This window comes from Homo sapiens, chromosome 8 (assembly GCF_000001405.40).
Source record: "Homo sapiens chromosome 8, GRCh38.p14 Primary Assembly".
NCBI classification, from domain to species: domain Eukaryota; kingdom Metazoa; phylum Chordata; class Mammalia; order Primates; family Hominidae; genus Homo; species Homo sapiens.
The window spans coordinates 69,324,547-69,346,145 of NC_000008.11; the positions used below are offsets into that span (position 1 = coordinate 69,324,547).

At 47.9% G+C, this 21,599-nt stretch overlaps 2 annotated features.

The window, feature by feature from the left end:
- Window positions 9,144-9,679: an enhancer, noted in NCBI's record as "H3K4me1 hESC enhancer chr8:70245925-70246460 (GRCh37/hg19 assembly coordinates)". NCBI's record gives its function as "activates a minimal SCP1, AML or CMV promoter by ChIP-STARR-seq in primed H9 embryonic stem cells {active_cell/tissue: H9 hESC(primed)}" and the evidence as "EXISTENCE:reporter gene assay evidence [ECO:0000049][PMID:30033119]".
- Window positions 9,680-10,214: an enhancer, noted in NCBI's record as "H3K4me1 hESC enhancer chr8:70246461-70246995 (GRCh37/hg19 assembly coordinates)". NCBI's record gives its function as "activates a minimal SCP1, AML or CMV promoter by ChIP-STARR-seq in primed H9 embryonic stem cells {active_cell/tissue: H9 hESC(primed)}" and the evidence as "EXISTENCE:reporter gene assay evidence [ECO:0000049][PMID:30033119]".

Genomic DNA, 21,599 nt, shown 5'->3' on the forward strand with positions numbered 1-21,599 from the left:
CTGGTGTTTTTCTAGTTTCAGGGTCATGTAGCTGGAGACCCGGGGAGAAGCTGATGCTGTTCTAATTTGAGAGACGTGGAGCTGGAGACCCGGAGAGGAGCTGATGGTGTTCTAGTTTGATGGTTGTAGAGCTGGAGACCCAGGGAGGAGCTAATGTTCTAGTTTGAGGGTCGTGTAGCTGGAGACCTGGGGAGGAGCTGAAGATCTGGTTTGAGGTTCGTGCAGCTGGAGACCCTGGGAGGAGCTGATGTTCTAGTTTGAGGGTCTTGCAGCTGGAGACCCTGGGAGGAGCTGATGTTCTAGTTTGAGGGTTGTGCAGCTGCAGACCTGGGGAGGAGCTGGTGTTGTTCTAGTTTGAGTGACTGGGTCCTCAAATCTGAGGGTCCTGGAGCTGGAATCTATGGGAGGAGCCAATGCTGCCACTGATGTCTTAGGTTGTGGAGCTGAAGACCCGTGGAGAAGCCAGTGTTGGTGTTTTAGTTTGTGGGTCATGGTGCTGGAGACCCAGGGAGGAGCTGATGGTATCCTAGTTGAGGGTCATGTAGCTGGCAACCCAGGGAGGAGCTGATCCTTCTGTTGTTTAAGTCTGAAGGTCGTCAAGCTGGAGATCCGGGGAAGAGTTGGTGCTGCGGTTCAAGTCTGAGGGTCCTGGAGCTTGAGCCCCCAGGAGGAGATGGTGCTGCCACTAATGTCTTAGGTTGTAAAGCTGGACACCCATGGAGGAGCCAGTGTTGCTGTTCTAGTGTGAGGTTTGTGGAGCTGGAGATCCAGGGGTGAGTGGCGTTGTTCTAGTTTGAGGATCGTGGAGTTGGAGACCCAGGGAGGAGCTGATGTTGTTCTAGTTTGAGGCTCGAGTAGATGGAGACCCTGGGAGGAGTTCATGTTCTAGTTTGAGGGTCATGCAGCTGGAGACCCTGGGAGGAGCTGATGCTCTAGTTTCAGTATTGTGCAGCTGGAGACCGGGGAGGAGCTGATGTTGTTCTAGTTTGAGGTTCATGCAGCTGGAAACCCTGGGAGGAGCTGATATTCTAATTTGAGGGTCGTGCAGCTGGAGACCCGCGGAGGAGCTGATGTTGTTCTAGTTTAAGTGTCGTGCAGCTGGAGTTCCAGGGAGCAGGTGGTTTTGCAGTTCAATCTGAGGGTCCTAGAGCTGGAATCTATGGGAGGAGCCAATGCTGCCACTGATGTCTTAGGTTGTGGAGCTGAAGAGCTGTAGAGGAGCCGGTATTGGTGTTCTAGTGTGAGGTTTGTGGAGATGGAGATCCAGGGGTGAGCACTGTTGTTCTAGTTTGAGGGTCATGGAGTTGGAGACCCTGGGAGGAGCTGATGTTGTTCTAGTTTGAGGGTTGTGGAGCTGGAGACCTGGGGAGGAGCTGGTGTAGTTCTAATTTGAGGGTCGTGGAGCTGGAGACCCACGGATGAGCTGGTGCTGCTGTTGTTTAAGTCTGAGGGTCATGGAGCTGGAGATCCAGGGAAGAGTTGGTGCTGTGGTTCAAGTCTGAGGGTCCTGGAACTGGAGCCCCCGGGAGGAGTAAGTACTGCCACTGATGTCTTAGGTTTTGGAGCCGTACACATGTGGAGAAGGTGGGCTGGTGTTCTAGTTTGAGGTTCATGGAGCTGGAGTCCTGGTCAGGAGCCAGTGATGCTGTTCAAGTCTGAAGTTTGTGGAGCTAAACATGGAGCTACTGTTGGGGAAGTAGAGAGAGACAGAGTTACAGGATGCCACTTGAAACTGTAGATGTAGCTGAATCCCAAGCAAGTTAATCCTGGGAACTTCTCAGTCCTCGTGATCAACGCATTCTTTTTTCTCTTACACAGTTTGGATTTGGTTTCTGTCTCACAAGACAGAAAGACCCTGATTAATACCCTCAGAAATTGAAAAGCTTAAAAAAAAACTAAATGATATTGGTATAATAATAATAGAAATTAAACTATGATTATCCTGACAGAGACAAAATCACACACCACACACAATATATATTGTTTCAATCAGTAAAATGAAATATAAATTGAAAAATACATCAATGCAAACCTATAAAAAGTTATTTCATGGAGAAGCGATGGATAACAGAGATTAATCTGAGAGTTACTATTAATGGAGAAACGTAGAACTTACCATTTTTCCTGTGAGTTTTTGGTGCTGATACTGATATTCTGTGAGTTCTGGCAGCTGAGTTTGTTCACACAGCCTGGTGATGCGGCAGGTGTCACAGAAGGACCCTGTCCCAGCTGGTCCTGCTCCACTGCTATGATGAGTGCAGCCTCTGATCTCTGACTGCGTCTTGAGGGGAGACCAGGCCTTTGATCACAAGCATATCCATGGTGAGATTCCGTGGATGGAACCTCATGGATGTTCCTGATGTTCCTTCCTGATGTTCATCTGCTGTCTTGCTATTTAATGCATCTTGTTTATAACTGTCTTCTAAATATTGAATGGAAATAAAGCATTTGTACAATATGGTAAGGTATAAAGAATATCGACACATTGGACACAGAGGACCTCCACCAAGTTTAGGGAATAGAATCTGAAGAGACATAACTTTAGATGCTCCCTGGAGGCCCTGACTGAGTCCCAGCCCCTTCCCTTCTCCTACAGAGGGAATCATTTCCTGCTTTAGTCTTTATTATTGCCATACTTTTCTTCATAGTACATTTCTTTCACCACATATGTGTACATCCCTAAAAGATATGCCATTTAGTTTTTGAACTTTCTGTTGTCTTTTTGAGACAGGGTCTTTCTCTGTTGCCTTGGCTGTAGTTTTGAACTTTGATGTGAAGAAATTCTCCTGTGTGGCTGCTCCTACACTGCATGGCTCTGAGCATCTGCTCAGTGTCTATTTTTGTCCTCCATTCTCTTCCTGAGACCCACCCACATTGACATGATTCATGTTCATTGCTGCGTGATCTCCTGTCATATGAGGGGAGCATGGGAAATGTCTTCATTTCCCTATTCATGAGTGTTTGTCCAGGTTGGGGCCCTTAGGAGTGTGTTTTGCTAGGAACATTCTTGGGCATTTCTTTTGTACACAAGTGCAACTTTCTTCTGGTCAGTAGCTTTCAATTTTTAAAATTTCATCCCAGGTAAGAAACGTAATTTTCCCCATAACCCACAACACACACCCTTTCATATACAAGCATAACAAAAATAAATTTCACAACCATTCTTAGCAGTGCCTGGTGTTCCTGCTACTCTCCATTCTCCCCAACACTTGCATTGATTGGATTGTGGGATTTTTGCCAGTCTTGTGGGTGTCATGTGATATCTCCCCCTGTCAGCCTGAGACCCTCTTCATGTTTTTTATTAGCCATTCCTCCACATTTCCTTTTCTGTGGAGGGCTGGTTCAAATCTTTTGCCCAGTTTCTGTAAAGTGGTATGAATTTTTGCCTTTTTCTTTTATTATTACTATTACTATGTTTTTGTGGCAGAGTCTCACTCTGTCGCCCAGGCTGGAGTGCAGTGGCATGATCTCAGCTCACTGCAACCTCCACCTTCTGGGTTCAAGTGATTCTCCTGCCTCAGCCTCCCAAGTAGCTGGGATTACAGTCGCACACCACAACACCTGGCTAATTTTTGTATTTTTACTAGAGATGGGGTTTCACCATGTTGGCCAGGCTGGTCTCAAACTCCTGAACTCAGGTGATCCTCCTGCCTCAGCCTCCCAAAGTGCTGGGATTACAAGTGTGAGCCACCATGCCCAGCCTGCCTTTTTCTTTTACAAGAGGACTATTTATAGATTATGCCTATCCATTCCAGTGACTATCTGTATGGCAAAGATGGGTTTGAATCCACCAGTATGAATGTGCAGGATCTCCTCTCTGGTGGGAGAGGAGACAGAGAGGATAGAAGAACATGGAGAATTAGAGCCGAGAGGAGGTGGAGTCAGGGTGGGGTTGCAGGCTGCTGTGAGGACTTGGCGCCTTCTCTGAGTCAGGTGGGATTAGCAGGGGATTTAAACAAAGGAACCGTGGGATCTCCTTTATATATTTCTGCCATGGTTGGCTCAGCTGAATGCACCTCTTGAACAAGACTTGGTCTTGGACACCCAGAGGTCCACGGTTGAGGGTTTACCTCCTGGCGTGGCCACTGACACATCCACGTTTGGTGCCCACATGGCTGGGCAGCCCCGAGACCTGCTCTGCCTGGGCCTCTCATTGTTGGCATTTCTCAAGTTTGTCCCCTCTCAAGTCTGCCCCATCCAGAAAACCAAACACCTCTCTCTCCTACATGGAAACCCCCATCAGCATCTCCCCCTGACTCACAGGGCATCCCGTCAACATCACAGTCCTGACTTTCCCACACGGACAAGCCCACGGGACCCCTCGATGGACCAGGACAGCACCAGCACTAAGACATCCCCTGAAACTCACAGGAAGACCGGACCAAGAAGATGGGAACTGCATAGGATGTGGGGAGCTGCAAATGCCCATGATACTGTCAGAGACAAAAAATATTATGGCCATGGCTGACACAAAATGTTACTCAACATTTATCACAGGCCTAAATGGAAAACAGAATGCTATAAAACCTTTAGATAAAAACATGGGGGAAAATTTGTATCGCCTTGGGTTAGGCAAGAAGTTCTTAGACATGACACAAAAAGCATGATTCATAAAAGAAAAGATTGACAAATTAAATTTAGTCATAAATTTAAAATTAAAATTCTATAAAGCAATATAAAAAATCTAAAGAGAATGAAAACACAAACTATGGTCTAGAAAAAAGTATTTGTGAATCACACATCTCACAAAGTACTGGCACGCGGAATATACGAAGAACCATCAAAACTTAACCATAAGAAAGTAAAAACCCCAGTATTAAAGAGAAGGCAAATATTTGAATGGAGCCTCATCAAAGAATAGATAAGGAGGGCATATTGCCCGAGAAAGACACTCAGCATCACAGAGATGTTGGAGAAATGCTAATCAACAGTACCTCTGCAAATCTATTAAAATGGCTAAAAACAGACAAAAAACACTGGCCAGTCCAGGTTCCAGTGATGATGCAGAGGACCTGGGACCCTCATAAGCTGCGGTGGGAATGGGAGGGGTCCCGCCATGCTGGAAAGTGGTCTGGGAGTTTCTTATTAAATTAAGCACATCCTTACCACGTCATCCAGCAACCCCACTCCTGGAACTCCCCCCAAGAGAAAACTTAAACGTGCACACATAAACCCGCACACAAGTGTTTAGGCTGGGCTTATTCCTCGCTGCCAATAACTGGAAGAAAACAAAATGTCTATCGGCAGGAGAAGGTGTGAACCAACGCGGATGCTTCCACATGGGGGCACCAGCCAGCAGTGGAAAGATGCGCCCGTGATGCACCAGCTCTCCCAGGTCACACACCCGGTGAAGGAAGCTAGTTTCGGTGGGCATAGGCCAAAGGATGCCGCCACATGATATCTTGGAGAAGACGGTGCTACCGTGCTGGGGAGCAGGGCGGGGGTTTTGAGGAGCTACGGGTGGAGGGACGAATGGAGGAGCTCTCTGGGGTGATGGTGTGAGCACCTGCACCTCACTGTGGGTTGCTGCAGCTGAGAGGCTGTACAGCAAGCACTGGCTTTAGTACATGCAGACTGAAGGAGGAAGGCTCCCAAAAGTCAAAGACAAAGGATGTCACTTCCACGAAACAAAAGCACACACACACAAAAACCTCCTAAAACTAAGAAAAAAACACAAAAATATTTCATAAGAGCGTTGGACTTTGAGTTGATATAATCTACCTGGGAGCATGGAACTGAACATCAATTGAAGGGGCTCAGTACCTGGCTATCAGAAATTACAGATTTAAAAAGCGTCAGGGAGGAAATAATTTCTGCAAATGAGGTTGCTTTTCTCCAGATACCTGGCAGAGTAAGTTAAAGCAATATAGTAAAACAATGCACATCTTGATGGAATCTGAGGATCACAAAGTTGTGGTGAAGGAAATTTGAAGATGTCCAGAAAAGGAAGACAAATGAGATGAATCTTGCAGCTGCCCTTCAAGAGGGGCATGCACCAGGTGGCAGTGATTCTCCGTGATGTTACAGGAATTCTCCTGGCTGGGTCCTCAGGAGCCTTTTCTTCCCATCCACACTCACCTCCCAGGGTGACTGGTATGGGTCCCTGGTGGTCATGACTGCATTCAGGGCAGGGGGCCTGCTGAGGCTGCTCTCCCTGTTCCTGAAATGCACGGGTTTGGTCCAGATCCCGCTGCTCACCACACAAAAAGCCAATCACTGAGACAATGGTTACTGCCAATGAAGAAGGCATTCATCAGGAGTGGCAGCCCAGGAGATGGGAGATCAGCCTCAAATCCATCTTCCTGACTGACTACATAGTAGGGAAGAAATGTGACTATGTATAAGGAAAACAGGAATTAGAGAGAGTGAGGAAGAGAAGTTGGTCAGGAGGAGACAGGCGGCTGGTCAGGCACTCATGACGGGTGAGGGGTCTGGCGTCTCACTGTCCAGATGCCATGATCTGGTGAGTCTCTGTTCCTTCACACTACCTGGGAGGCCTGATGGTCAGTTTCCTGAGAAAGGAACCCAAATAAGACAAATGTCAATTTCTCAAGTTTCAAGACCACAAGGATCCATTTCTATGTTACTCAGAGAAACCATGAACATCAGTTCTACGGGAAAATTGGGCCAGTTCAACACCAGATCTGATCTGCCATGACGCCTGCTGCTCAGCCCTCAGATAAGGCCCAGAATCCAGTGTTTTTCCCCCACCCCAGCCTGACCCCACACCCACACCTCCCCACTTCACCCTGGGCCTCATTGCTCTCCTGCCGCAGAGGTGTCAGGGAGCTGCACATGGCCTGTGTGCACCTGGACACGTGGCATATTTCAGATGCACCTGGTGTCACGTTTGCACAAACCCAAGTGGGAAGAGATCCAAATGCATGTTCACCGCAGACAGCTGAGGACATCCCAGCAAGTCCCTCAGTGGAGTCAGCCAGCGCAAGGCGAGTGAGGGACCTCCGGAGATGTGAATGGGTCTCAGAGAGTGTGTGAGTGGAGCAGCAAAAACATATGCTGCTAATTAATTCAGTCCTGTTGAGCTTACAATAGTCCACGTCAAAAAGAATGTTTGGGGCTGCAGTAATTGAGTGGACAGTTGCAAACAAGGCAAGGGAAGGAGGACCAGAGAGGTGAAGAGGACACTCCCTTCGGGGGTGGAGAGAGTAAGACCTGGCATTGCACATGGGTGGGGGGGGCTTGTCGAGGCCCCTCTTTGCTTCTGAGAGTCTGTTTTCATGGACAGTCTTCTACAAAAGGTACATGGCAGTTTTTCAGGGCCAGGGTCACCAGGATTCATCTTTAAGCCTCCCCAGCCTGGGAGGCACCACCTCCACCAGCCCCGTCCGCACAGTCTTATCTCATCTCAGGTTCCCTGGAGCCCGACCTTCCATGCACAGCCTCCTGGTCTGGGCGTCTCACCTCCATCCACACAAGTGGTTCAGGGAGGGTGGAGTGTCTGGTGCTCTGCGCTGGAGGCTCAGCCCGCACTGGGCCAGGCCATCGCAGGCCTCACAGATGAATGAAGCATGAATAAATCCCGATCCTGTTATCACAGCTTCTCCCCATGCATCCCCAGCAGAACATTGTGTAAAAACTACACCAGGATTCGTACATGCCAGAGGACCGAACTTTCGTGTGTTGAAGATAATTTATCTTTCTGAATCACTACAGATCTACCAAGCGGTTAACCACAGAATAATCACAGGGGAGAGTCTGAGTGCTGACCTAAGAGAACCTTACACTGCTTCAGTTACCCTTTAAAATTAAAGGGTATTGACTTCATAATTTTGTTTTGTTTCTCTTCTAAATGAGACTGTCATGGAAAAAACAGCTATGTAGGCGATGGCTTTGTATACCTTTAGATGGAAATGTCAGCTCAATTATTTCAAGTGTAAAAGTGTTTCAGCTTTTTTGAGGTATAATTGATATACAAAGAGCTGCAGACATTCAATGTGTACACTTTGGTGAGGCTTGACATGAGCAAACACCCATGAAATCATCACCAAATCAAAGCAATTGAGGAATTCTACACCTCCTGGAGGCTTCCTTGTGCCTGTGCCCATGGTGAGAACACAGCATGAGATCTTCCTTCTCAGGCAATCGCAAATGGGCAACAAGAAAATAAGAGGAGGTCACCTTATGAACACACACCCTGTGACTTAATTGTTGATCTTTTTAACCTGGGCCTCACATTGTTCATTCAGAATATGTCAAAGACTTTAGAAGTCATCTAACATATCAGTAATTTAAAGTCCTCTAATACAAAAAGTATAGAATATTACCTTTTGTCACATAGCAATAGGGAAATGAAAAAAGAAAACTGACTTATGTTCTTTAATGGCTAGGAAAATATTCTTAAAAAGATATCTCGGCTCACGCCTGTAATCCCAGCACTTTGGGAGGCCGAGGCGGGCAGATCAAGAGGTCAGGAGATTGAGACCATCCTGGCTAACACGGTGAAACCCCATCTCTACTACAAATATTAAAAAAAAAATTAGCCGGACATGATGGCGGGCGCCGGTAGTCCCAGCTACTCAGGAGGCTGAGGCAGGAGAATGGCATGAACCGGGGAGGCGGAGGTTGCAGTGAGCTGAGATGGTGCCACTGCACTCCAGCCTGGGTGACAGAGCAAGACTCCGTCTCAAAAAAAAAAAAGAAAAAAAAAGCAGAGCGAGACTCCGTCTCAAAAAATACTAATAATAATAAATAAAGGTATCTCATCCACAGGTGAATCTAACAAATGACAAATTTATTTCTTTACATAGATAAATATAAGGTTAGATCCATGTAAGTAAATGAAGCCATTAAGGGTAGAGTCCCACAGATCACAGAACTGACCCAGCAACCAGCTCTGCTAACGATTTCGGGGAGTAATTTCCAGGCAGAGGTCGAGCTGGAGAAGCTGGGGACCATCGTAGTCCCCCTGTCCTTCCTGCCTCATAGGGTCTCTGAGGGGTGCCTGGAACATTTCCTCTTGGGCTTTGAAGATCATTTCACTTATACGCGACATTTTCCAGGTGCCACAGACCTAAGCCCAGAAACTTCACAGTACCAAGACCACCCGAGAGCCGGGGTCACCTGAGAGAGGGCAGGGGGTAGACAGTGGCTCCCCAGGAGTGAGTACCAGGTATTGTCAGGGTTTCTCTCCCCAGCACATTTACAAGGGGACTTGATGGGTTCTTCTTCCTTCGGGAGCAATCCCAGTGGGCAGAAGGAGGGGAAGGGAGGCCTGGCAGACTCTCCTCCCCAGCTCCGTTCCAAGATCGACGGGGCTCTGGCAGGCCCACGTCACCTGCAGGTGAGAGATTAGGGTTCCTCCCTGGCCTCGCTGCTCTCAGGCCCTCATGGGCACCTCTCCCCACCCTCTCAGCTGGACAGCGACACACACCCACTCTCTCATGTCAATTTGCACACAGAGCCATGCTCACTGCACACACACACTCACACACATGGGCTCTTGCACAAGTCACACCTTATTCACACTCATGCACACTCACATGATAGTTGCAAAATCCTTGTGTTCCAGCAGGGAATATGAGGACACAAGGGTGAGCGTGCGGCTGCCCGTCCCACCGTGCGTGTGCAGGTGTGTCTGTTCCTGCCTCCGCGCCAGGTCCTGGGGTGAGCACACATGGCTGCCCGTCCCGCCGTGTCTCTCCTCCGCACTGGGTCCCGGGGTGCGTGTGCAGGTGTGTCTGTCCCTCCTCCGCGCCACGTCCTCACTCTGCTGCTCCCCCATAGGGAAATTGTGATATCTGTGATTTTTCTCATCAGTCACAACTGGAATCTGCACGTCTCTGTCTCACACCCGTTCACTCAGCTGTGAGGACATCGACGTGCAGCCTCGACTTCCTGCAGTGCATTCGTCAGGCTCCCGTGGCCGCTGGGCCATTGTCGGGGCCTCGTTACCTGCCTGGCTGAAGCCTCCGCCTCATCACACCCCTCACTGGAGCAGCCCCGACTCACAGGCTGTTAATTGTCACCATCAAGCACGCCAGAAATTTTAAAATGATTTCTCTAAGCCAGGTACAGAAAGACAAACATTCTCTCTCTCACTTATTTGTCAGATTTAAAAATTGAAACAACTGAACTCATGGACATGGGCATGGAAGGACGGTTGCCAGAGGATGGGAAGGGTAGCAGGGTGCGGGAGAGGCAGGGACCGTTAATGGGTGCAAACATAGAGGAATGAATAAGATCTGGTGTTTGATAGCACAACAGGGGAACTAAAGTCAATAAGAACTTGACTGTGCATTTTGAAATAACTTAAGGAGTGTAGTTGGGTTGTTTGTAACCCAGTGGATAAGTGCTTGAGGGGACGGACGCGCCCGTTCTCCGTGATGTGCTTATTTCACACTGCATGCCTACATCCAAACATCTCACGTACCCCATAAATATATACACCTATATGCCCACAAAATTTTAAAAAATCATTTATCTAAGGATAAAAGTGAAGGTCCCTTCGTTTCATGCAGCTTCTGTTTTGTCAAAGCTTTTGTTTTTTGAGATGAACCTTCCTCACTGGTATCGTGGGCACCAGGGAGTTTGTCCAGGACAAGCTCCCACCATTTCTAACTACTCCCAACTTCAAGGGAGGATCTGTAAACACACGTGTTTTGTGGTATTTGACTGACATTCTGATATTTTTTCAGAGGACTTGGAACTACTGTAAGAAATCAATGCATGACATACAAATTCACACAATTTTGGGGAGGGAGAGACAACAGATTATGTAGTAGCGGGCGCCTGTGTTCCAGCTACTCAGGAGGCTGGGGCAGGAAAATGGCGTGAACCCGGGAGGCGGAGCTTGCAGTGAGCCGAGATCGTGCCACTGCACTCCAGCCTGGGAGACACAGGGAGGCTCCATCTCAAAAAAAAAAAAAAAAAAAAATCATGATTTTAGATTGTTTTTTCTTTTTAGAAGATTTTTTTCTACTTGAGATATTTGACTCAAGCATTGTTAAAAATGCAACAAAATCATAAAAGTTTGGTGGTTCAAAAAATAATGTTGACACAAAATTCTAGTGGCTCTACACTTGGATAGTTTTAATTTTTTAATTTGGTAACTCTGGTTACAGAAGCCAAGTGACTTTTCAGACACACAGGTTTTCAGCCCTTGGCAGGAATTAGAAATGAACATTTCTAGTATTTTCCACCGTGCAGACCTTCAGGGCATATGTGCCTGTGTCTATATATGTATGTATACACATATGAGCAGACGTGTTTGTGTGTCTGTGTATGAATATGTATCATGTGTGTACATGTGTGTGTTATTCACAGATTGCCTTTGCTAAGTATCAGATAATGTAGTGATTCCAAAGGAGTTTCAAGCTCATCTTTATTCTTTCCTATTTTGCTGAGTGAAAAGTACAGCTGTACTCCTTTACTCACTGTGTGAGACAGACGTCATACGGATGACTATAAACGTGCCATGCATGATGTAATATATAGAAAGAAAACCAGATGAAAATAAAAGTGAATAAAATTGGCATAAATGACCCCAAATCACACCTGAAACACACTCTGTGGCCCCACTGAGGTCTTCAGGCGCTCTGCGTTCGGGAGGCCTGGAAAGTCCCAGCTGTGAACCTCCCGGCAGTCCTGTGACTCAGTTCACCACATTGCTCAGACATCCACGCCTCCTGTTAATTTACCTTAAGCCTTGACTTATTTTTAACCTTTTAAAGTTAAGACCCGTGATCAGTGAGTGCCACTCTGTGGGGAGTCACGTTTGGGATGGTAATTTCCAAAGGCAGCTGAGAGAAGAGGAAGGAATGGGTGTTCCTCCAAATGCTAGTGTCAGATGCCTCGGTGAAGGCGAAAGGATTGATCCTGAGAGGAGAAGAATAAGCTCATCTGCAGAAGAAACGATATTTGACCACAATACAGGCCTTCAGGAGCAGTGCTGAGTCCAGGGAGCATTTATTAAATGCCATTTATGTGACAAGCGCAAAGCTAAGGACTGTCCAGTCTGTGGAGAGTAAATCTCCTTTCCACCTTGCAGGCTGACAAAGTCAAATCATTAGTGACCGCTCATGTGAGGAAGGTGGAGCTGCCTCTCCAGATGCACATAAATCCCGTGGCTTTTCCCAGGTAGCCTGGGAGGTGGGTCCCGGTGGGTAAACAGCGATAGATGCGGGTGATTCCCAGGGGTCCTGTGAGAGGCTGTGGCCCGAGGCCTGGAAGGAGGCAGGAGAGGGTGCTGGTTCACTCGCAGCTCCAGGGTGGGCTGGAGGTGTCCAGGTGGGACTGTGCCTGGGAATGTAGGTGCTACCCATGGGGAGCTGCTGTTCTAGAGATGGCCATGGGGGCCTCTGGGAACCCAGGAGACCCAGTGACCCACAGTTCTTACCACCTGGCTTCACAGATGGGATCTGGGACTTGGGAGTTAAACTGCTTGGTGAGGCTCCATGACTGCCAGGTGGGAGGGCTGGATTCGAAGCCCAGAGGGAGGTCGCCTCCACCTTCCGCCATCGTAGCCCTGACTCGCTGCCTCTCCACCCTGGAGACAGGGAGAGGGAAGAATTTCGGAGACCAGGGTGGGTGGGTGTGGCCCTTCACACTGGTATTAAGGCCTCCCTCCTCTCCTGTGACATGTAACCCCCAGGGCCTGCAGGTGCCCAGACAGCCTGAGCTCATGGCGCCCTACGGGGAAGGCTTTGCTTAGATGTGGAAATCAGGTAGAGGACACTGGGATTCCCTCAGTCAATGTCCGAAATCAACCTTTAACCTCCAGAAGTGCTTTAAGGCCCGCTTGAAAAGGGAAGGAAAAGGTAAACGTTCATGGTGGGGATGGGGAGCCCTGTTGGCCACAGCCTGGCCACTGTCACCACCTCAGATGGTCACTGTGGCTCTGGGACCCAGGCTCCTTGAAGGACAGACACATTGGCTGGAGCTTTGGAGATGGACAACTTTGACCCTTGCCAGGCGTCTTAATTACAGCCTGGAGGCAACAGGGCAGTGCACTCCCAGCTCTGTTTTTCTTCTTTTTTTTTTTTTTTTTTTTTTTGAGACAGAGTCTCACTCTATTGCCCAGGCTGGAATGCAGTGACACAATCTCGGCTCACTGCAACCTCCGCCTCCCAGGTTCAAGCGATTCTCCTGCCTCAGCCTCCCGAGTAGCTGGGACTACAGGTGCACGCCACCATGCCAGGCTAATTTTTGTATTTTTGTATTTTGTTTTCACCACGTTGGCCTGGATGGTCTCAACCTCTTGACCTCGTGATCCACCTGCCTCGGCCCCCCAAAGTGCTGAGATTACCAGCGTGAGCCACCACACCCGGCCACATGCTCAGCTCTTACTCCTCTTTCTCTCTGGAGTTTTGTTCTCCTCAGTTGTTGACTCAGCGAAGATGAATCCCACCTTTTAGAGAATAAAAGTCAATGGGGTTTGTTCCACCAGCTGACTGAAACAGAGAAGGTGTGAACGAGGAACATGCCATGCAGAATAGTGAGGCCCACAGAGGACGGAGGGGCTGCAGACGCCCAGGGATACTGAGTCTGCAGAAAGTGAATCCAGCCTGCAGAGCTGAGGCTGCTCTGATGCAGCAAAACTTGAAACACCACTGTTGAGTTTTCTTCCTGGGGAGGATGGACCCAAGAGGCCCTTCCCCACTTGGACCACAGCCAGCAGTTTGCACCCTAGACAATGGCCCTCGCTGAAGGGACATCTGTGTCTATGCAACCCACGTACAGTTAGACACACCACACGTGTGACCCAATGCGAGGAGGAGAGAGGCACAGAGCCCACAGGAGGGAGAGCTCAGTGGGAATCGATGGAGAGGAGGACTCAGCTGTCCGTGACCCAGAACCGGCTGACCATGTGCTGGCCACTCTCTGCCAGTCCTGGTGGACACATGCAGGTGGTGTCCACCCCATGCCTGCCCAGTGGGGTCTTACTACCAAGTGTGCCCCAGGCTTACCTGCCCACTCTCAGGTGCTGCAGCAGTGACCTGTCCACCCACTGTGAGCTGCTGGAGCCCCGGTGTGGGTCCCTCAGCCTCTGGACTGAAGCTTCCTCAAGTCATGTCAGCAGCAGGCTGGGTGCACTGTCATCAGGATGAAGAACATTGCCCTGCGTGCACCTGGGCAGAGTAGAGGTGTTGGTTTCTGCCGGTCACACTCCTGTGGAGGGCCCGGCCACCCTGCAGACCCGCCTGTGTATGTGTGGAGCATCGTGAGGGTCACTGGGGCGGGGCCCACTCCTAGACACAGCCACTGAGTCTCCACTGCTCAGTGAGGACAACACGGATGAAGGACTCAAATAGTGGCCTCTGGGGTTTGGCCTCCCGGCCCAGCCAGGCATGTGGAGGAAAGTGAGGGCTTCAGCCGGCTGTCAGGGCCCTGGGTGGTGACACAGGAACCCTGGACCCTGCCAGTGGGCCCAGAGCAGCAATGCTGGAGCACTATGATCAGGACACCTCTGCACCAGCAGCTGGGCTGCCGGCCACACTTGGGCCGAGCCGGCGTTCACTCCCCCAGGCTTGTTCACTCCAGACAGATTTCTTCCTAACTTGGGCCTCCACCTCCCCTGTCCAGAGCACTGATTTTGGAAAACGTAAAATTGTAAACTCTCTCTGCCCCTTCAAGGTGTAAATCTTCTTCCAGCTACTTGCCAGTTCCACAGCTCAGGAAATGTCCTTCTCCAGGCCTGGGAGCTGCCTTGGAAAATGAGGCATCGAGAAAGAAAGGGCCCAGCCCCTCAGGCACTGTGGGAGGGCAGGAGCCTGACTCCATTGAGGAGGATTAGGGGGCCAGCCCCCTGCTGAGGCCTCCAGGGCTCTCCCACCTGCTCAGCAGCCCCTCAGGCCTCTCAGCCTTCCTGCCGTGTGCTGCAGAGGACCTGGGTGCTCTCCCCTACTGCAAAGATCTTGAATAAAGCCTTTCTTGCTGGTTTAAAACCATCTGATGAGAACAATTACTTGTTCTCATAAGAGACCCTGCATCAGAGTGGTCGTACCCACCCTATGGGTGGAGATGGGGTCTTGAAGCCCACCTGCATTTGTCACCAGGGTGTGCACAGAGAGAGTTTCAGTGCCACCCTAGAAGCATCCACTCAACACTCAGGAATAAAGCAACACCTACAAAATTTAAAAATAATGGTAAATGGAATGGCACCTAAAAGAAGAGTATGACTAATATAAACGAGAATAACAGATGTGCACACTTGCACTTGTCCACGCCCCAGATAGAGATGCCCATAAATCACATCCGAACATTTTCTAGGGCCAGAGAGGTGAGAGTGAGGGACATGGAAAATGGGGATGAAGGGAATGGGTAAAGAAATCCACCTGGGACAGCAGGTCACCTTGGTGGGGGCAGCATCATGCTGGGTAGGGCAGCCAGGGCAGTGACCCCTCCAGGCATCTAGGCAGAAAGTCACACAAGGGGCTGAGAACCCACAATATGAGAGGGTGGATTCTAGGATGAGCTCCAGAAGTGATTTACGGATTAAGAGAATGGCCACATCAGGATCCCCACCCCTGAGGTCCCACAGCCCCCACCATGTTGCATTCCAGGGTCTTTCCAGCCCCTGTTACCACCCCTGCTGCTGCAGAAACTCGGGTCCCATTTAAACCCTGATATGGTTTGGCTGTGTCCCCACCCAAATCTCATCTTGAATTGTAGCTCCCACAATTCCCATGCGTCGTGGGAGGGAGCCGGTGGGAGGTGATTGAATCATGGGGGTAGGTCTTTCCTGTGCTGTTCTTGTGATGGTGAATAAGTCTCATGAGATCTGATGGTTTTAAAAAGGGGAGTTTCCCTGCACAAGCTCTCTTCTCTTGCCTGCCACCATGTGAGATGTGCCTTTCACCTTCTGCCATGATTGTGAGGCCTCCCCAGCCACGTGAAACTGTTAAGTCCAATAAGCCTCTTTCTTTTGCCAATTGCCCAGTCTCGGGTGTGTCTTTATCAGCAGCATGAAAATGACTAATACAAACTCCCTCTGGTGAGGGCCAGTTGTGGCTGCTCAGCCACCGGGGAAACCTGGGTTCACTGTCACAGACTCACTGGGGTTTCCAATTCCAATTCTGGCCTGGAAGATGACTGATGGGCTTTTGATCATAGAGCTGGACATACACACATTTGTGACTCTAAGAAATAAGGCAAGAAGCTATCACTGTGTGCCCTATTAAAAGTAAAAGCTAATTTTTTGTGAGAGAACTGAAATCTCAGGTGTGGTATTTGGAACACGGAGCCACTTGACAGGAAGGCCCCAAAATGGAAGTTCAAACATCCTGGCAGAGCAACAGAAACATAAAATGAGAAAAAGAACAGAAAACTAAATGAGGAGCCATGGAGAAAGAACACTAGGATGGAGCAGGTGCGGCTGTTACCCATGAACTAAGTGCAGCTCCGCGTCAGAGAAGAGAACACAGTGAATACAGCAGTCCTTGAACTGACATGCTTCACATTTAGAAACATACCCTCCATCATCACAATTTCATTTGCCAAATTAGACACACTTTACTGACACTTGTGGAGGTTTTATTGCTTTGCTTTGGATGAAGGCAATCTATTATAGCTTCTCCCATGGAGCTTCTCTGGACACTGTTTAATCAGACTTCCTTAAAGCTCCCCTAAAAGAGGTCTCCTCCCTCCCCAATACCAATATCTGAGAAACCCCAGCTGCTCACACAAATTCAAGTTATTCATCACCTTTCCCAAATTTACGGCTCTGGCTCCTTTTATACTCTGACATGGGGCATTTTTGTCGGCAATGCCCTCACAACCCCAGTGCCTCCTCTAATCAAATTCCACCGATTCCTTGGCTTTCCTTTCCCATAAATGTCATCGAAACACTCAGCTTACCTCCTGATGGAGTGATTTTATGCAAATTTCCTTACTCATAATTAATTTTAAAGACCAACATTCATCAAGGAAGGAAAACTGTTTCCAAAAGGCACACACATCTTATATGAAACATTGCTTAATACAAGAAGATCTGATTTTGTGGGAAGCATTGCTTTGAAGTAGTTTCTATGTCCAGCGATTTGATGCCATTCTATGAGACTTTAAGACAATGAGAGCCTCTGTTAGCAGAGCTAGGGCGGGCCCGCGGGGAACTGGAGCGGGCACGTGGGGAAGTGGGGCGGGGACGGGAGGAACTGGGGCCGGCACGCAGGGAACTGGGGCGGGCATGCGGGAAGCTGAGGCAGGCACGTGGGGAACTGGGGCGGGCACGCAGGCTCAGAGATGCACACGTTTGTTCTCAGCCTGCACATCCCAGAATGCATTTTTGCCTCACGCTGTAACAATTAGAGAGATCCTTCACAAGGCAAGGGCTGATGAACGTGCAGTTCTGGGGAATGCGAAACAAACAGCTGAAAAGGAGAAGGCAGCCAGGCCGAATGAATGTGCTCATCAGACAAACTCACCAAGGTCTCCCTCATTTGGCCACCTTGTTCCTCCTGGAGGCAGGGGCCCCCCAGAGCTGCCGGGTGTGGGGCAGGGGCCTCCATAGACATCTGGCTGGGGCTTCACTTTGAGCCTCCTCCACCATCAGGGCAGGGGAGTGAGGATGCAAGGAGCCTGGACCTCCCCTCAGGAAGGTCCTGTGGAGGGGTGTGGGGTCGCCTGTGGGCCCCCCAGCCCAGACATGGAAAGCTGAGCTCATCCTTCGCAGGAGCTGAGCTTCCTTCGGGGATCTTCTTTCCTGACACACACTCCGTGTCAGGGGGTCACTAACCCAGGACTGGCTTAGCGTCAGAAATAGCTGCAACCTTTTTTGTGGCCCGTGAATATGCAAAATCAGGTAGATGGTCATCTGAACTCTCCACACCCAGCGTCACCTCCACACAGGCCCCACAGGCGCCCTGGATCCAGCGCACCATTGCCCAGCCTTGTGGACCAGGCCCCAGGCTGTTATAGTGTCGGAGGCAAAACTACAACAAATCTAGTTTAAAGATTGAATTGGCTTCTATTTGTGATTCTAGACTTGGAAACACTTGGCCCTGGGAGCAGGATGGGCGCGGTGAACTGAGCGGGGAGTGTCCCGTGAACTGAGCTGGGGTGTCTCAAACATCTGGGCTCAAGCAGTCCTCCTGCCTCAGCCTCCTAAGTAGCTGGGATTAGAGGCACAAGCCACCACACCTGACTCTGAAAAGTATAATTTAATAGTCCCAACACAGATGAGAAATATTAGACCCTTTCCTCAGCCTGTCACTTCAATTAACTTCCAAATCTTTATTAATATATTAACTATTTATATTAACTATTATTAATATTAACCTAATATTGCACCACTTCACATTATATTTTCATTTATTTTTAAGGGAACCTTTTTCTATTTTCATTTACTTTTATTGTGTAGACCCAACCCAACATTAAAATCATCTCAGTTATCACCAATTTTGTATAGACACTGAAGGAAGAAATTTACATTCATTATATCATTTAACACTTAAAATCAACAAAGAAATAAATGCATATGTATTTTGTTCTTAGCAGAACAGTGGAAACACTGCACAAAATGAACTCAGCTGTTTTTATTTTGCTTCTTGATTCACACCCATTCTACCAGCACTCTCTATCTTCAGCTTACCAATGAGTAAGGAAGGACTGAGAGGAAAAGAATCTGTGCATTGCCGTATCTTTCCCTTTCCTCTGTCATAATTTTCGGCATAAGTTATTGGCTAATATAGGGAAGTAACATATTAAGTGTATTGGTTTGCTAAGGCTGCCAAAACAGAGTACCACAGACTGGGTGGCTTACGCAACAGAAATCTATCTTTCTCATACTTCTGGAGGCTGGAAGTTCAAGATGAAGGTAGGTGTCGACAAGAGTTCATTTCTTTTGAGGCCTCTCTCCTTGCCTTGCAAATATCTCCCTTCTCCCTGAGCATTCAATGGTTTTCCCTTTGTGGGTATCTGTGTCCAAATTTTCTCTTCTTACAAGGATAACAACCGTTGGATTAAGGCCCAACTCAATAACCTCATTTAACTTAATTACCTCTTTAAAGACACTCTGTACCAATACTGTCATATTCTGAAGTACTGGGGGATTAGGACTTCAATATGTGAGTTTGCAAGGAAGACACAGTTCAGTCTATAATATTGAGAAAGGATATGATCGTCTTCCAGGGTTGTTCATGTTTCTTAGAGTGGCATTGCCTCTTCCTGCATTCAAGGCAAGTTCTGGTCTTCTGGGCTGTCATCTTCTCCAGTTGCTCAGCTGAAAACACAACACACTCATTTGTACACTCTTTGAGGCCCACCGAACTCTCACACAATGTGGGTCTCCTGGAGCTCTGTGTTCGTGGGGATTCAAAGGCTGTGTGAGAATGGTGTGGTAGCCAGCAACAGGCACCCCGCATGCATCTCCTGTGCTCATGCACATGCTCCATTGTCCATCAGACTTCACATACAGAACACAAGACTAAAGACCAAATTATTAAGAATTTGGAGATGGTGACAGTAGAACATTAAGCCAAGTGAGAGTCCTTCTAGGAGCAAGGCCCCAAGAGTAAGGTGAGCATGTCATAGAATCCACTTAGTGGGAATCACAAATGCTATATGTGAATGAGGCAGCAAGAGGCCATGGACACGCATATTGCCTGGATCTCCTCTATTCATATATGTGCCCCATTGTCCTATCAGACTTAACTTATAAAACAGAAGTTCAAATGCAAAATTATTAAGAATTTCAAGATGGCAACAGCAAGGCACCAAACCAAGCGCTTCTAAGCATGAGGCTCCATGGAACTGCACAGTTGTATGCCCATGAAGCTGGTCTTGAAAATAGATGTGGCCACCCACAGAAAGTGTTGGCCTTGTGGCCAGGTAAGCCTTCTCTGCTTAGCCAGCCTCACCTCTGAATTTGCCCATAGATGTGACGTGGTTGGAAATCATTTATCATCTTTCTTAGGATTGCCATGTGTTTTTAGCAAAAATATCAGATCCACCTGATAAAAATGTATAGACCAAAAATACACAATCTACAATGTATGTTAATAGTAACCCCTATTATAGCTTCTACATTAAGTACTGCAGATTACATATTATAAGTACATCTTATAGACATAAATATTTGATAAAATAACACACTATATTGCATGGCACTGAAAGTAAATCATGCTATGACATAATGAAATGGTCATGATTTTTTCAATGACCATCTTTGTATCTCATATTTATTTCAACAGCAGAAAGCTCATATAGAAAATCAGCTTCCAAGCTGGAGACATGGGCCCCCTAGCCTTTTTTTTTTGTTTGGCTCTGCTGTTCTGTTTCATCAATTTCAAAGTATGTGTCAGCCACTAATGGCTTGTCAATCCAGTTCCATCTGTGTTGTGGTTCCTGAAATTCTTCCCAAGGTCTGGCAATGCATTATTTGATATTTCTAGTTTTCAATGTTGTTGGATCTCTGCAGCAATTTTTATGCTTCCAAGAGTTTTCAATGGGAGGGTCAGGAAGGGTAAATCAGCCAGCTGCCATCAGAGCCAATAAATCCACCTGCTTTATTGTCATTTAACAGCAACGAAAGAGCCATGGATTTTCTGGGGTGAAATAAAGCAAGTGCTGTGTACCACCTTACACTATTGGAGCACACATGTGCATGCACCCACACACATTAGATGTTATTCATGTGGGAGACACTCACTAAAGGATATAACCAGGATTATCATCAATTCACGGACCCCATCTCCAATATATTGGACTCTTCTCTTTCTCATGTGACAAGATACACAATAAACATATAAATATATAACATGTCAGGAGACAGAAGTGTTATAAAAAGCTAAACAGAGTTGGGAATAAGAGAATTCAGTGGGAGGGGCGTGGGAGTTGGTGTGCTATTTTAAGTAGGGTCACCATGGACATCCTTTCTGATGGGGTGACATTTGAGAGGAGACTGGAACTGAGAAAGCACCCAGATACCTGAAAGAAGTGGGTTCAGAGAGAAAAAGAGCAAAGGCAGGAGCTTCATGTGTTTGAGGAAGAGGACAAAGCCAGTCTCCCTAGAAGACAGCAGGAGGAGATGATATTTGAAATTTGTTTTAATTTTAAGATAAGTATCTGTTGGCACGTTTGTAGTGAGGGGTGGTGTGATCTGTCCACCCCAGCTGCTGTGTGCTGGCAAGATCCAGAAGACCAAGTGCTGAGGCAGGTAAACCACTTACGAGAAGGTATTGCAACGATCCAGGAGAAAGATGGTGGTGGCAGCCCCCAAAATGAAAGTGGTAGAGATGGAGAGGTGTGGTCAGATTTGGGATATAATAAAAGAGCACTGTCAAGGATGACTCCAAGTTTTTAGCCCACGCAGCTGGAAGAATAAAATTGCCAGCTGTAATTCTACACTTTTCTTCCTTTATTAAGAAAGTACATTGTAATGCAAGTAAGCATTTGCTGTAGGGACAAAGGGCAACCTGCAATTTGTTCTAATTTATAAAATAAAGTAACATTTTAAAACATTGGTTTTCTTGACCATTGAATAGAAAAATAGGCCAGGTGTGGTGGCTTATGCCTGTAATCCCAGCACTTGGGAGGCTGAGGTGGGAGGATCGCTTGATCCCAGTTCAAAACCAGCTGGGCAAAAAAGTGAGACCCTGTCTCTACAAAAAAAAAAAAAAAATTTAAATTAGCCAGGTATCATG